The sequence below is a fragment of the Homo sapiens genome, chromosome 3 (assembly GCF_000001405.40).
Source record: "Homo sapiens chromosome 3, GRCh38.p14 Primary Assembly".
Taxonomy (NCBI): domain Eukaryota; kingdom Metazoa; phylum Chordata; class Mammalia; order Primates; family Hominidae; genus Homo; species Homo sapiens.
In genome coordinates, this window is record NC_000003.12 from 142,925,720 (window position 1) to 142,943,286 (window position 17,567).

General features: G+C 40.0%; 1 long non-coding RNA gene across 1 annotated transcript, besides 1 other annotated feature; it reads left to right on the top strand.

The window, feature by feature from the left end:
- The first annotated feature begins 955 nt into the window (after positions 1-955).
- Positions 956-16,817, top strand: HLMR1 (hepatic lncRNA metabolic regulator 1). The gene is made up of 5 exons (NR_038455.1): positions 956-1,177; positions 7,486-7,549; positions 10,704-10,927; positions 12,756-12,934; positions 15,680-16,817. It is a non-coding gene; the product is annotated as a hepatic lncRNA metabolic regulator 1 (long non-coding RNA).
- Positions 3,448-3,742: an enhancer, noted in NCBI's record as "tiled region #3462; K562 Activating DNase unmatched - State 12:CtcfO". NCBI's record gives its function as "activates a minimal TATA promoter and a strong SV40 promoter by Sharpr-MPRA in K562 cells {active_cell/tissue: K562}" and the evidence as "EXISTENCE:reporter gene assay evidence [ECO:0000049][PMID:27701403]".
- Positions 16,818-17,567: the final 750 nt, after the last annotated feature.

A 17,567-nucleotide genomic window follows, 5' to 3' on the forward strand; every position in this document is an offset into this window, starting at 1 on the left:
CAGGTGTGCACCACCATGCCTGGCTAATTTGGTTTTTCAGTTTGTTCAGCTTTTTACTCATTAGGACAGAGTGGCAACTTCCAAATTTCTTACATGCTGAACCAGAAACTGTTTTGTTAGTTTTTTAGGATTCACTTTAAGTCTTTTCCTCCAGGGAGACTTCCCCAACTTTCAGGTCTGCATTAGGGACCCCTATGATGTGCTCCTGTAGATGCTTTTTGTTTCCCATAGCTTTTATACATATTGTGATTGTCAATTCACTTGTCAGATTCCCCCGTTAGACTGTTGGCTCTGTGTGGAAAGGACGGTTTGCCTTACTCATTCCTGTATTCTCAGCACCATCCATCAATGCCTGACATATAATAGGTATTGAATAAATATGTGTTGGGTGAATAAATGAATGAATGGAAGAGCTTATTCTCTGTAATTACAAATAAATTAGAAGCAGCTGTTAAATATAATTCATTCATTCAATCAATCACTATTTACTAAAAGCCTATCATGTGCCAGGCACTAGGTTAAGAAACTGATGATGAAAAAGCCACATAAATATGGAAACATGTTTGTAACACAATCTAATGAAAAAAAACCAGAATACATGTATGTACACCATAATTTAAACTCTTTAAAATATGTAGGAGGCAGGCTGGTATTGCACAGTGGTTTTAAGATTTTCTATTTTTAGTTAAAGTCTCTTTCTTCAAATGAAATCTTAGAAGGACAATGTATAAAACATAAAAAGCAAGATTTTCTGCTTGATGCGGGGGCAGAGGCCAGAGCCTGCCTACCCTTTTCCTAGTCTGCTCTCCTGTCTGTCCTCTGTGCTACTGCCACCTTCCCAAGCCAGAAGTAAGCCACTGTGGCACCTTCACAGAGGATTATTTGAAAATTCCCAAAATAGACTTCTGGTTAAACATTGCAGTTTAAAAACCTGTGTTTTTCTTTCATCTCTTTCAAAATGCTACTAAAATGACAGCAAAGAAGCCAAAAAGGCCCAAGTCCACAAGACAGAAAGAATAGGTGAAAAGTCCATGTCATCTCATTTTTGGAGATGGACATGGACAGGGGCTGAAACTGCAGTACCAGCAGATGGGGAGCTTAAGAAGGAAGCTAGTTCATGGCACAGCACCCGTAAAGTCCCCAGAATTGGAGGCACCAGATTCTTCTGAAAGAAAAGGTAAGAGGCGGAGCTGAAAACAGGAGGTTTATGGAAAGTCCTTGGAGAAAGCAGTCAGACCTCTGGATTCCTTCCTCATCTTTCAGCAGCCTCTCTCTTGTCCTGGCAGAAACCAGGTTTACTCTCTTGGGAAACTCAACCACAGGAGGATCTGGGGACACAGACCGGCGAAGGATGGTAGAGATGCATCACTGAACTAGGAGAATTAAATGATTGGCTTAGGGTTGGGAATGCGACCTCAACTGGATCAGTTGAGGCCATCCTTGGCATTTTTAAATTCTGAAGCTGGAAGTGTGGGGAGGATAGTGTGTGTATTCTGCAGGTGTTGAGGTCCTTGTTCTAGTCCTTGAGATTCCTGGCTCCGACTGTTTCCTGTAACTCTTTAATTCTATGAAACACCCAGTATTCTTCTATTTTATTCTGCTCAGGCTGCATTAACAAAGTATTACAGACTGGGTGGCTAAAAATGGGAATTTAATTCCTTGTGACTTTGGAGACTAGAAATCTGAGATCCAGGTGTCATGGAGGTTGGTTTCACTCTGGAAACTCTCTTCTTGCTTGCATATAGGCCTCCTCTCTGTGCCTTCACTTGGCCTTCCCTCTGTGTGTGTCTTTGTCCTAATCTCACTTTCTTACAGGGACACCAGTTAGATTAGATTGGGATCCATCCGAATGACCTCAATTTACCCTGATTACCTCTTTAAAGGCCCTATGCCAAATATGGTTATATTTGGAGGTTCTGGGAGTTAGGACTTCAACACATGAATTGTGGGGGGACAAAATTCAGCCCACAATGCCTTCTACTATTGCCAGCAAATAAATAGCTTTTGAGATAACTTAAGAGATTTTAAATTTAGTTTCTGGTGCTTGCACGCAAAGAGTTCTGACTTATACTATTCACTTGCCTCTTGGATATTGCCTTTTGTCCATTATAGTTGTCATTAACTGTTATTTAAATCCGCATTACCATTCACCTTTTCCTATGTTTCTGTTCCTTAAGATGGGAGGTAGATCATAGTTTGCATAGCCCATGGAGTCAGATGACCAAAGTTGTAAAGTTCTGTTTGCTGGCTGCCTGATCTTGGTGAAGTTCTCTGTGCCTCAATTTCCTTATCTGTAAACTGGGGATGGTGATAATAACAGATATTCACAGAGTTGTTGTGAAGATTAAACGTCTTAATGAATGTAAAGCACTTAGACCAACCTGGCTTATGGCGAGTGTTACATAAGTTCATGCTATCATTTATTCATTCAGTAGTCTCTATAGGGAATAGCCATGTGCCATGGATGTGGTAGATACTTAGTAAATATTCATTCTCTCTTGTTAATGTATGTGTTATAATAAGTGATTCTCAAAGTTATCTTCAAATTCTTATTACTCTGTATATTGTTATCTGCCAGTGTAATGATATCTAAAGCACATATCTTAAATACTTTAAACAATCTGATATAACAAACAAAGATAGAGCCATTTTCTTCTACATTGGAAGCTGTGCTGTGTAGGATGAGAGACTGGGGTGGAAGTAGGGATTGCAGGCTTCTGGTCCTGGCTATACCCTCACACTGTGAGACTCTGAACAAGCCTATACTCTCTGGGCTCTGCCTCCTTTATTTACACACCAAGGCTGGACTATGTAAGCTTTAGGCTCTTTAATGTTTTATATCACTTATCTTTGAAAGGCCATCTTAGGTGAGCTGCTCAGAGTCTTTAAAAGCTACATTTCCCCCTCCTTTCTTACTTTAAATATAATGGTAATTAAAATGTTTCGGAATTATATATTAGATGCATTTCGGGCATCAGTTACAAGAATGAGAAAGAAATTATTAACAGTTGGCAAAGATTAGTATCAGTTATAGTATCTTGTTATAAGTTTAGAATTTTATTTTCTAATGAGTAACCTCTCCTCCACCACACAAAAAACTAGTGTGCTAACAAAAGAATTAAAAAATGGGATTTTATTTGATTGGATTTTAACTTCTTGGCCATTCTTAATATTTTTGGAATAGGCTTTTGAGTCCTGACCTTCTAAGTCAATTTGTTAGTCTGCATCTGTAGTGTCTCTGGCACGGCTGGGAAGTGGTGGGGGGCGGGGGGTGGGTGGGTGCAAGAAAAGTAAAATATATGATGTTCACTCTTGACCAGCCTATTTTGTGCTGTGAACACCCACACTTGCACACAATACTCAGACATATTAACACATTTGCATGCACTCTCCAATATGTGCAAAGTAACATCACATTCCTTCTTTCATTCAACAAAAATGTGTTGATTGCTCACTCTGTTCCTGGGGATCTGTGTGAACCAAGACAAAGTTGACACTGTAGTTAGATATACCTCTCTGAATAAAAGAGTAAGTTTAAGGTAGAGTGAGGGTTAATTCTCTGTTTATAAGCCTCATGGGTGAATTCACACCGAGCAGCAGAGGGCAGTGTTCTCAGACAGGGCAGCTCTCCTGAGGATCTGCAAGGAAGCAGGGCGTGCCTTGTGTGACTGGTGTTGTCGAGCAGATCATTTTTTAACACCCCACTACTCCATACAGCATTATTTTTGGTAATAATAATGAAATGAATAAAAAGAAAAATGGACTGAGAGAGATTTTTATTTTATTGAACTTCGTATATGTAATCATTCCAATAAAAATGAAAAATAAAATAATAAAATACATTTTATAGTATCAAAAAAGGGGAAAGTAGTGGACTAATACTTTTAATTACATTAATGTTTTTCAAACAAAAAAGAAAATACACATACCTACATACTAGACTGCCATAAAAATGAATAACATTACAGTGCAATAGTAATTACATAAGAAAAAGAACAATAAAAAAGACATCAATTTCAATTTTTAAAGATATTATTCAAAGGTGTGAAATATTGCACATGTGAAATAAACTTGCAGTTACCAAAAAAAATTACACCTTGTGGTTTACGCTGCATTATTATTTTAAATTTTAATTATAAATAAAAACTCCAAGTGAGTTTTCATGAGAGCACTAAATTGAATGAGAGAGAATTGAGGTAGCCCAAGTTCTGTCACAATCACTCTACTGCCATTGCTTATTCCAGATCTAGTGTTTAAATGCAGAAGCAGATAGTCCCACATGGGTTGGAGCATGAAGTGTACCCAAAGCAAGCACAAATATGAATGATTCTGAACCATCTGGAACTTAACTCTCAAACAAGAGTGTGTAGATAAGTCCATTTATGTCAAGTCTTCTCTGAGTTAACTCCCACACAGGAGTTATTACTAAAGGAGAAAATGTGTTTCTTAAGAGATAAGCAATAACATTGCTGATTTTATGTATTACAAAATTGAATAATAACCACAGAAATTTTTTCGACTGCAGACCAACAAAAGATTTAGCGGGGACGGGGAGAGCATTTGACCATTGTGTAGAATTGCCAATGTGTGAATATAGTAAAAGCAAATCAGCTTTTAGTCCATTTAATTATTGTTTTAAAATTCTCTATAGAAAATGTGTCTCCTTATTGCCTGAGACTACTCCTATTACTACTGTTGGTTTACCAATGCCATTGGCAATTGGAAACAACGATATAGGGACTGGACTGTAAATTAAAGCCATATGTATTTAACACTAGCAGGCCCAGCTCTACATGGGAACCTCATGAAGCCCCAGTTGACATTCTGGATCTTGCAGCAGAGTGAAGAGTCTGTTCAAAGCTGCTTTGCATAGGTTCTGAAATGGCTGCATAAGCTGGTTAATAGATAACCAGTCATTTTATAAAATAAGAGGTAGGGTGTGCATGTTTATGTGAGGGTGTGTGCATGTGTACACGTGGGGTAAAGTCAAGAAAGGTGATGAAAAGCACTAAGAATAACCGTAAGATGAATTTGTGCCCTCTCCTGGAAACAATGGGAAATTTTGGGTTTAAAAGTAACATGGATTTAAATAGCCTCTCCAAGTTTAAAATACCTCAAAGCGTTTAATTCTTCTTTTAGTTTCCCTGTGAGTTTGCTGAGATGTCTATTACCAGTTCAACAATGAGGCAATTGTGATAGGGATACTCAATGGTACTTTCCCCCAGGATGAATGTATGGATCAATAGATGAGTTCTAGACATATTTATAAGAAAAGAACCAAACTTAGTGACAAGCAACCATTTAAAGCTACTATTTAGAAGTGTTCACTGATAGAGATTGTACTTACAGATATTCACCAAAGAAAAATCTCCTGCATGTGCACCAGGAGACATGTTATGAAAATGTTCTGACAGTTTGAGGTTATTGATCCTCAGCTATGGTTTTCTGCTCAATGCTACTAATGACCCTCCAAAAAGATCACCTTCTTTTGAGTGCAGAGAGGTGGTTTTGGTCTTTGTTGTGGAGAAGCTCTTGGAACTTTCTCACTGCAGAAACCATGCTGTTGTCGTGTTCCTTCTGCTTAGCCAGCTGGGCCTATTGCCCGCTGCTCCAGGTGTCCAGGTCTTCCAAGGCACAGCTCAGGATCACACTACCTCATGCCTTACACCGCTGGCTTCTTCCCTCCTACCCTGGGCCCTCCTTGTCACCAGGTGCAAGACACAACAGGACCACTGGGGGCACGCTGGCTTGATAGGGCCTCGAGACGTCAGGCTGCAGGCAGAAAGGAAATGTCCCTGGCTTGTGCATGCTCACTGACTCACCTTGTGTTTTGAGACTCATACAAAGGGCCAGGTAACAATGCTAGAAGCTAATACCCAGTGAAACAAAAAAAAAATTTGTTTTTGTTTTTGTTTTTTTGAGACAGAATCTCACTCTGTCACCTAGGCTGGAGTGCAGAGGCAGGATCTCGGCTCACTGCAACCTCTGCCTCCCAGGTTCAGATTCTTGTGCCTCAGCATCCCAAGTAGCTGGGATTACAGGCGCCACCATCACGCCCAGCTAATTTTTGTATTTTTAGTAGAGATGGGGTTTCGCTGTGTTGGCCAGGCTGGTCTCCAACTCCTGGCCTCAAGTGATCTGCCCACCTCGGCCTCCCAAAGTGCTGGGATTACAGGTGTGAGCCACCACGCCCAGCCCCAGTGAGGCAAATTTTAACTACTGAGAGGCAGATGATAGGCAATAACCCATGGATAAATTCTTGCTCTTCTTCTCTCCCAAAGGATTCCTCTGAGAAATGTTTCCATGTGGGCCTCTCTGGAAACTTCCAGGTGACAGAGCAACCAATAGTGCTTTCTATGAAGCAAGGCCAGCTCAATAATAAGACATCTTCTCTTTACTTTCCTGCCTTCCTGTCTCATTGGCCTGCCCCTGTTCACTCCTGCTCCCTTGGGTTTGCATCCCTCTAGTGAAGCTTTAGAATGTAAATTTTGCCTCAGACTATAATTTCTAGGAAACCTAGACTCAGACAAAGAATATTTACTGCAGTAAAATTGTCACAATGCTCATTGTTTTATGATCACAAAATAAGTAATTAAACTATCAGTACAAAGAAAAAGAAGAAAAAATAGACAAAAAAGTACTTTCAAAACCGGAAACTAGAATTAAAGCAAACACAGACTCAGTGCAAAGAATAGATTTCACTTCCATTCTTTCTCTGCTGCTTATTTGCAAGCTGTCTTGTACACATTATATTTTAAATGTACAATATTGTGAAAAAATTGAGCTCCCTAAGAAATACTTAAATATATGGATGCCAATGATTAGTCTACAAAAGAAAAGTAATATTCAGAAGAGTAGTAGTTGTTTCAGATATAACTTTAATGTATTTCATTATAGAAAATTGGCTTGAGTTTCAGAAGTTCGGTTAAGAGATCTGGAGTCAGGCTGACCTGGGATGAAAAGCCCAGCTCTAGCCATCACGTAGAAGTTACCAAGTCTCTTTAGGCTTCAGTTTTTCTCCTCTTTTAGATAAAGATGGGATAGTACATAAGTCATAGGGTTATTATAGGTTTTAAATGAGATAATTTAGTATCTGATCCCCAGTGCTCAATAAACATTATTATTATGACCCATAATAGTGCCAGTGAGGAAAACTAATTCTTTGTGAGCAATAATTGGTGTTGAGCAAAGCTGTATTAATGCTAGTTATCTTGGGAAAGATCAATTCTAGTTGGAACTTTTGCAACAGAAAACAGGATGTGATTTTTTCATCATTTTAAGAATGTGGTGTGTGTGTGTGTGTTTGTGTGTGTGTGTGTGTGAACTCATTCAACCCATTTTATGGAGCACCTACCTTGGGCCCAACAATTTTTCTAGGCACAAGGTTAGATGCGAGTCAAGGTAGAGTAGGTCCCTGTCCTCAAGGATTTTCTGTTCATGAAAAACAGCTTATTATTGTTCTTTTTTTGTTTTCTTTTGCAAAAGGAGCAATTCAGCACTTGTCATGCAGATAAGAGGTCAACACCCCAGGACGGAGTGAAAACCTAAGGTTTGTATTTTTGATACACAAAGTGCTCTTTTGGAGGAAACCAAAAAATGTCGAGTTTCTGGCAAGGTATGGAAACAGGACAGAAGGAGACCAGAGTCGAAGCACCAGAGGGCATAGATGTGGAAAGTGGTCCTAGTTAGGAGCTGTTGCCCAGGAAATGTTGAGGGCACAAGCTGTAAGCAGGACCACAGTGAAGACAGCTAGTGTCAAAAGCCCTGCCAAGCCAGTCCTTCACAAGGGCTGTCCAGCCTTTAGCATGGGGGACTCAGCATGGCAGGCCTGTACCTAGTAAAATTTCTGTCTTCCCAGTGGTGACAATCGGCTCCTTCCGCACCTGTAAGAGCAAATTTGGTTCTGCCACTGTCTGATTGCCTGGTGCTCACAGTTCACTTCCCTGTCAAGCCAGGTCATCCTAATACCAGAGAGGACTTCACTTCTCCCTAGCAATGACCAATTCTGTGAAACTGATTACTCCAAACTGTATGTATAGACTTAGCAATGAGGAAAGGCTTTGCCAGATCATCTTTTAAAACTAAACCTCAACTTCGATGTGCTCTCTGTGCTCCAACCACACCTGTCTTTTTCCTTGTTCCTCAATGGTGTCATGTTTCTGTTACAGGGTCTTAGCATAAGCTATTTCTTCTGCCTGGAGGGCGCATCCCCCAACCATCACATGACTGGCCACATTGCTCAGACTTTAGCCTAGATGTCACCTCTTCAGAGAAGCCTTCTCTGACCACCTTATTTAATGTTGATCACTCCACCTGCAGCCCAAACACCAGCTAATAAATTCCCTCCTACTCCTCCATCGTTTCTTTAATTTTTATGCCTCATGTGAAAAGTATCGAGTCAATCACATACTTCAGTTCATGGTATAATATTATTACATTTCTTTCGTGGATATTTTCCCCATTCATCCCTGGTTTCCATTTCCGTTACCTCTCCTTTCACATATTCATTCACTATAAGGCATTACATATATATCCTTGTCTAAAAATGTAATATTGTCAAATGTAAGTTATTATTTGGTATATCATATGTTTCACAAATAGTATTGTGCAATAGACCTTGCTCTAGTTATTATGTTTTGTATTCACCAGTGTGTTCTAAAGACCCATCTGTATCTGTTATATATGTAGGTACACTTGGTTCATTGCTTCTAACTGATCCTTGGTATCCCGTAGTGTGCATTCATCCCTGCTCTGGATACAGTCAGCTCCCAAATTCCATAAACAACTCCTTTGTAAGTAACCTCCTTTTGACAGGGGGTAGAATTGCTCAGGGTCCAGATGCTCCCATTATTATCTGTTCCTCACCCTGGCCAGGCTGTGGCACTGCCCTGATATTATCCCATCACCTCCGTGTAGCAGATATTTTGTCTCAAGGTGGTTCCAGGCCAGGCGATTATCTGCCAAGGACAGTGGTTAGAGAGAGGAAACAGCCTGCAACTCTGCCTGCACCATGTCCTAACAGTGACTTTCTCTGCTCAGCCTATGGTTTACCCACAGCAGGTCACAGCCACCCTTTCTCTCTGCCCAGTGGTTTCTTATGGTTTTTACCTAGATTTACGTCGACTTGCAGATCAGTACACTCCTCTCCTGCTTCTGAGGCAACATCAGGGTTGGAATTTGTGGAGTTCCTTATAGTCTTCATAATGCTAATCACTACCTGAAATTATCATCTTTTTAATTGGTTTACTTGCTTATTGTCTGTCTCCCTCACTGTAAGACTGTAAATGCCACATGAGCAAGGACCTTATCTGAACACCTTCCTAGGTTTGGGGATATCCCACCACATGCATACCACTGAGGGGCAGAGATGCCTTCCAGTGTAGAAACAGCTAGGACCATATAGTCACAGCCCCAGGCAGCTTCACAGCTAAGGCACGGGCATTCCTTCTCTATTTGGCCATCAGACCGACCTGTGAATCCCAAGTTGGAGAAATGAAGTCACCAAGGCAGTGGAGAATTCAGTGGTCGGGGCAGCTGTAGTGGCAGCAGTAGTGCCTGTGGCAACAGTTTCAGGAGTAGCAGTTGGTATCCTGCCTCCAAAGACAGAATGTAGGTCCACCAGCAGCACCGCCTTTACCAGACTGGTACTAGGACCTAATTTTGGAAGTGGTTCTTCCTATCGAGACTTTGGGCTACCTAATATCCTTTCAACAAATTTGTTATTTCCTAAATCAGTCAGAATCAACTTTTAGTGTGTAAACTGAGAACCCTCAGTAGAACTATTAGCCACAATGTCCGCTTTTATTGTCTAAGTCCATTTGAGCTGAACTTTCTGTAACTTGAAGACAGAAGCTCCCTAACTCAGGGGTCCTCAACTCCCAGGCCACACAGCAGGAGGTCAGCAGTGGGCTGGCTAGCAGGGGAGGCTTCATCTGTATTTACAGCCGCTTCCCATCACTCGCATCACCGCCTGAGCTCTGCTTCCTTCAGATCAGCAGTGGCATTACATTCTCATAGGAGTGGGAACCCTATTGTGAACTGTGCTTGTGAAGGATCTAGGTTGTGTGCTCCTTATGAGAATCAATGCCTGATGATCTGTCACTGTCTCCCATCACCCACAGATGGGACTGTCTAGTTGCAGGAAAACAAGTTCAGGGTTCCCACTGATTCTACATTATGGTGAGTTGTATAACTATTTCATTATATATTACGATGTAATAATAATAAGAGTAAAGTGCACAATAAACGTGATGTGCTTGAATCATCCCCAAACCATCCCCCACCCTTATCCTGTCCATGGAAAAATTGTCTTCCACGAAACCAGTCCCTGGTGCCAGAAAGATTGGGACAACTGCCCTAACTGATGTAAGAGTATGGGCAATAAGTGTTTTCAGTGCACTGAGTGATTAAAGATTGTTGGGGCAGGGTGTGTGCAAGTTGAACTTAGCTCAGTGCATCCACTGGCAAGGAGGTGGTAGCAGGAAATAGGCATGTGGTGACTTCAGTAACAGAGACGACTGCAGGGCTGACCTAAGCTTAGTAGCCTGGCTTCTCCGGGAGCTGAGGGTGAGCATCATGCCTGCTCCATCTCCCTCTTTGTTGTGGATAAGGCAGGTAGGAAGAATGACGGATTGCCTTACCCTTTCTAATTGTTGTGTGCTCTCCATACCCCACCCAATCCTACTTCAACATTGTCACCTAAGGATTCACAAACCCACCCTTGTGCGAATCCAGCCGTCTGTGTTCTAGACTGGCAAGGACCATATCTGATTCTGAGATGCTCAGGAAGGTGTGCTCCCAATTGGCCCTTGTCCAGACTAGTTTACTTGCTGAGTATCCCCAGGGCACAGGAACAATCATTTGGGGTTGCGGCTTTGTTCATAGGGTCATCAAGACAGGAGGATATGAGGCAGAATCACCACACAAGGTAAGAGTACATTTAGAAATTCTCTTGAGTAAATAATACTGGCTTTATCACTATGCTTATTTCTGTGTTTCTACTTGCTCTCAGATTTTGGCTTGGTTATTTCTTACTATCTTGTTAGCTCTTTGATGCCTCTAGTTTTGTTTTTATTTTTGATATTGTTGTTTTCTTTTCTTTTTTTTTTGAGATGGAGTCTCGCTCTGTCACCCAGGCTGGAGGCCAGTGTCACAATCTCAGCTCACTGCAGCCTCCGCCTCCCGGGTTCAAGTGATTCTCTTGCCTCAGCCTCCCGAGTAGCTGGGATTACAGGTGCCCACAACCATGCCAGGCTAATTTTTGTATTTTTAGTAGAGACAGGGTTTCATCACGTTGGCCAGGCTGGTCTCAAACTCCTGACCTCAGGTGATCCACCTGCCTCGGCCTCCCAAAGTGCTGGGATTATGGGTGTGAGCCACTGCGTCCAGCCATTGTTGTTTTTTTTTCTGATTTAGCCACATTTTTTGTTATTTTCAGTGGGAGAATGGTCCAAAATATCTTGGTTGCCATATTGTCAGAAATGGAAATCTTCTATTGATTTTTAAATTTCATCATTCTTATTTTTCATTCTTATTTAATTCTTCATTTAATTGGTTCTTTAAATCTCTTTGACATTTTAAGATAATTTCTCATTTCCTGCCTGTATTTTCAAGGTTGTTTGATATTTCTCTAAAATTGTTAAACATAGTATTTTGTATTTTGTATATAAGTCCAATATCGAAAACACCCATCCTGCCACTACAAGAAAAGTTTTGCCCAAGAATGAACCAACGTAGAGAAAAACAGAGCTAAGACAAACCAAGGCTAACTGCTGATTTAAGTCCCTAGATCCAGCTATTCTTGAAGCCTTCTCAGTTACACAAACCAATAATACTTACTTTTTTTACTTAAACTATTTTCTGTTTCCATTACTTACAACCAAAATAGTCCTGATTAATACATAGAATAATGTGAATTTTTATTTTTATTCTGATTTTTATTCTGACTTTATAAAAAAGAACTTTTACAATTATCCATTATGCTTGGATAAATGCGTGTGTAAATATTTGTTTGGGGTGGAGGATGTACACTGAAATGTTAACATTAGATTTCTGCGGAGGATGAGTTGGAAGGAATGAAGGAGACATTAATATCTTTTTCTGGCAGGGCACGGTGGCTCACACCTGTAATCCCAGCATTTTGGAAGGTGGAGGTGGGCGGATCACCTGAGGTCGGGAGTTCGAGACCAGCCTGACCAACATGGAGAAACCCCGTCTCTATTAAAACATACAAAAATTAGCTGGGTGCGGTGGCAGGCGCCTGTAATCCCAGCTACTTGGGAGGCTGAGGCAGGAGAATCGCTTGAACCTGGGAGGCGGAGGTTGCAGTGAGCTGAGATCGCGCCATTGCACTCTAGCCTGGGCAACAAGAGTGAAACTCCGTCTCAAAAAAAAAGAAAAAAATCTTTTTCTTTGTCACCTATGCAATGTTTGACCTGCAAGTGCTTGTATCTTTTGTAATTGTTTAAATCCCTCAAAATTTTAAATGAGTATTGAATATATTTTGTGTTTTTCCAAATATAAGATTCTATAAAGAAGAGAATGATGTAAGTGACCCGGGGGCAATGGGGGGAGCTTAAATTTGAAACTAGAAAAAATTTTGAACAAAATAATCATAATTGTTAGCTGATGAAAAACTAGAAAATATTTTCTGAGTAAATTCTTGATTTCAGAAATTAACTATAATTTATATTGCTCTTAATATCTTACCCTTGAATATAAATGATTAATGCCCTTTAAAATGTCCTTTTTTCTAGCTAACCTGATGTACATATGACATTAATCCAATAGACTTAGGAATAAGATACAGGGGGTTTTCCTGAATGATTCGAGTATATCCCCATTCATATTAAGAAAACAAAGTATTGGCCAAGCGTGGTGGCTCACGCCTGTAATCCCGGCACTTTGGAAGGCCGAGGCCAGTGGATCACCTGAGGTAAGGATCACTAAGACCAGCCTGTCCAATATGGTGAAACCCCGTCTCTACTAAAAATACAAAACTAGCCGAGTGTGGTGGTGGGCACCTGTAATGCCAGCTACTCGGGAGGCCTAGGCAGGAGAATCGCTTGAACCCAGGAGGCAGAGGTTGCAGTGAGCCGAGACTGCGCCATTGCACTCCAGCCTGGGCAAAAGGAGCAAAACTCTAAGTGTCTGAACTGCCTAAATGATCTCATAATTTCATGAAAACATAATTTAGATACATAGGTGTACAATATTTACATTTGCATTATTTAGTAAGATGGGCTTTTTCCCCTGCTGGAGGCTGCGGAATGAGATTAATGGGAACACTGGTGACAGAGTGCAGGGGAAAACACACACTGCCAACTCTTGCCTTGGAGTGGCATTTCTCAGTCTTAACCTCGCAGTATATTCCAAACCCATAAAAGGTCATTTGCCTTCTCTCGCAAGCCTTTAATTCACTTGAGAGATGGGCTTAGACAAAGATAAAGCCCCTGTGAATTGGTAGCCTCGCTTTGGGAAAAGACTTACACAGTAACTAAGGTATTGGATAAACAGACTCTAACAATTTACTTACAGATCTCATAACTATGATTATTGTATTGATCATTTATTCATACACATAATAGCTGCCTTGAATTTCCTTTCAACAGAAAAAGGATCAGTTTCAATATAATTAAAAGTTGGAAATTATTTCCTTAAATTTGGGTATATCAGATTATTAGCTTGTTTTGTTTTTGTAAATCCATGTTTATAGGTAGAAATGGTCATGTCTTTGTGTAATTTATAGAAAAAAGGTATTTTAGCAGAATAGCATTTTTAATATACCGTGTATTAAATATTATCCATTAAATCCTTCAAAATGAAAATTTTGACAAATGATAGTTAAAGAAGTAAACAACACACCCTGAAAAGGCACAGTAATATGTAAATAATTTTTATCTTATAACATCCATTCTATAAGAGAGCATAATTAATTTTATTGATTTACAGTACAGTCAACATTCTTGTAATGTAAAATTTAGCAGGTAGCTTAGACATTAAATTTTAAACTCAGAATCATCATCAATCTTTTATTTAGATCTGATAAGCTTCTGGGGTTGCTCCACAGTGGAATCTTAATATGGTTCTCTCACATAGAATAATTCACCTTCGGAATATTATGTCCTCTTTTCCAAATATGTAAACAAATGTATTACTTATTGTAGTGGAAATAACATACAATTACATTTTTTTCCACTTTTCATTGCAGTAAGGATTATGTTACTTTGACTAACAGCTTATACTTTTTTCTCAGCTTTATTAACTCCAGTCAAGTCCTTAATTTTCATGAATAGAACTGAAAATGCTGTTCTTTTAATCTTCTGAGTTGAATTCTGGGTCATGCAAAGATTAAGTGAAGTGACTCCAAACCTAAAATCCTATAATTACGGAATGTCTGTTTAGATTGGTGCTTGGTCTTCTTTTTCCCTCTTCTAGATTGGGAAGAGAGCTTTCTGAACTGCAAATTAGGAAGGCCTTGGCTTGTTTGTCTGTGGTAAAGCAAACAGATTTGAAGAGGACATCTATTTAGCTACCATTTGTTTTGTTTAATCTGAGATTAGGCCTAGGTTTGCAAAAGAAATCTACTAAATTTAGAGTAAACAGAATTCTTTAAGGCAGCATTGCTTGATGGTATTTTCTTCTTATAGCCTCTTCTGAGTGGTTTGTGATTAAGGGATAAAAAAGTGACTATTTTAAGCTCTGAAAAATGTGAGTACACAGTTTTGGAGGAAATAGAAGGTAAATTGATCAAATAATTTACTAGGGAACCTCAAAATGGTAGCATATGATCTTTAAATGATTTTTTTTTAAACTTGTAATAATTCCTTTGAAGATCTACTGGCTGTTTTTAACCACTGACCATCACCTAAGGGAAGACCATGTGACTCGTTACTATAATGGCCTGCATAAAAAACAAAAACAAAACAAAAAAACCCTCAGGGAAGAGAAGACTTACAACTATGACCTCATTTCTAATTGGACTGTGGTGAAAAAGAAACTAGTCATAGCTGAAACTAGGGGCCAGGAGGGCTGCTTGCCTCTCCTGGGCAACCTGTAGTTGGCGAAACTTTAACTCTACGTATAAAGAGACCATTTTTTACAGCGAGTTTGGGGTAAATTGTGTAAAGTCTCAAAGGGACCTAATACAGGACATTTCCTACATTCCGAATTTGACACTTTAAGGAAGACTGCGATAGGTAATGTGACCTTCCACCTTAGAGATAGTATCATTCATTAATGAAGGGTATTTAGTTTTGTTTTTATAACTCCAATAAATTTAAGAAATGTCTTGGTGGTCCTTGAAAGTGGAAAAACATATTTATATGCCATATTTTTCTTCCTGCTGCTCTGTCTTCTTGGAGAGCCTGCCTGGAGCAACCAGGTAAGTTGAAAGGAGTAAGGACTTGGGGCCAGGCAGCCAGACAGACGTGCGTTCACATTTCAGCATTCACATTCATGAATTCAGTAGTTCAGTAGTTCACTAGTTCAGTCAGAGACTGGATGAGTGTGAGCGTGAAACTTATGCTCCCTGTTTCCCCAGATGTTAAGTGAAATCAATAATAATTACATTGAGGAGATGTGAAAATAATGAAGTAACATATGCAGAGTGCCTAGTTCATAGTAGATGCTTGAAAATGATGCTGTCCTTCCTCTTTCCCTTCTGTCTGCCATCCTTCAGATGGACTCAACGACTCTCTTACCGTCCAGCTCTCAAGTCCCTTCTCTTGTGAAAATGGAAAAGTTGAACTACAGTTGAGATATTATTCCCAGGTGTTCTTTGGAACACAGGGGATTTCTCCAAAAGGCACAGAACAAATTGCCTCCAAACAGCCAAGATTCCAGCAGAAGCTGGAGTAGCAGACTACTTGGATCTTCAAAGTACCTGGCCCTGAGTCAGTTAAGGAAGATCTTTTCTTCTCTTTTGTACAATCCTATGATGAGAGCTGCAAAGTGAACTGACTAAGAGCTTCTGCCTTGATCATTGACCTCCCAATCCTAATAATATGTTCACTGGCCAAACTTCCTAATCGATTTGTCTTTTGGATATAACGTTCCTCCTACTGTTTGCCTGATTGAGAAATCTGCTACAGAACATGACCGGTTAGCATTCCCACCAACCCCAGTGCTACACTGACTGTCTTTCGATGGACTTTGCTCCTTGCTGCCTCTCTGAGGTCCCAGACCTTCAGAGTGACCTTCACAGCTCTGCCTAACTTTCTGTCATACTTCTATCAAGAGAGACAGCTAAATCAATATTTTTAATGTGCTTTGCTGTCGGAATTCGATGATCTGTCACAGTTCTTGCCCAATACACCCCATCATTATTGTTAAAATGTTTTTAGCTTTGTTTGTAGAATTGCTTTAACTGGTTTCATCTCTGGGAGCTACACTTTGAAATATAACTTTAGCAACATTTTACTATACTTTTTCACAACCCAGAGCAGTACTATTTTATGCTTAGTGGTTAAACTAATTCCATAAATCTTTTGCAACTATCCTCTATTCTTTTTCTTGTAATTTTTACCTGGGAAGGTTTTTACTGATAATCATCCTATCCTGAGTCATCCCACAAACCAATCTGTCTCACTAATCATTGCTTCTAACCTACAGACTAAGCATAACTTCTGCTAAATGATCTTTGATAAGATGCTATGACTCTATAAAGTCTTTGATATTCATGTCTAAATTTAATCACTTGTAGATTTTCATAGAATCAATCTTTCACTTCTACAATTGGGAGTATTTATAAGTTGTTTATCTTAAACAGTTCCTCTATCACGCTTTTCACGTTAAATAAAGCAATCCCTTCAAATCAATTTTCTGTCATGTCTAAGATGTTATTATTTCATGGTATGGGTCAGGGGTCTACAGACTTTTTCTGTTAAGACCTAGATAGTAAATATTTTAAGCATTTCAGACCATACAATCTCTGTTGCAACTACTCAGTTCTGCCATTGTAGCACTAAAGCAGCTATAGACAATACATAAATGAGTGAGCATGGCTGTGAGCCAATACAACTTTATTTATGAATGCTGAAATTTGAATGTCAAGTAATTTCATGTGTCATAAAGTATTACTCTTCTTTTTTTTTAACCATTTAAAAATGTAAAAACTATTCTTAGTGTGTGGGCTGTACAAAAGCCGGCAGAGAGCCAGATTTGCCTGGGAGTTATAGTTTTCTGACTACAGTATACTTTATGGCCAGGAGCAGATTCAGGTTTTGTGGGGACTGAGCTCTTTACAATTAGGGGGCCCTCTTTAAGAAAAGGAATGCAAGACCAGGCATGGTGGCTCACGCCTGTAATCCCAGCACTTTGGGAGGCCAAGGTGGGTGGATCACAAGGTCAGGAGATCGAGACCATCCTGGCAAAACAGGGTGAAACCCCATCTCTACTAAAAATACAAAAAAATTAGCTGGGCATGGTGGCGGGCACCTGTAGTCCCAGCTCCTCAGGAGGCTGAGGCAGGAGAATGGCATGAATCTGGGAGGCTGAGCTTGCAGTGAGCCGAGATAGTGCCACTGCACTCCAGTCTGGGTGACAGAGCGAGACTCTGTCTCAAAAAA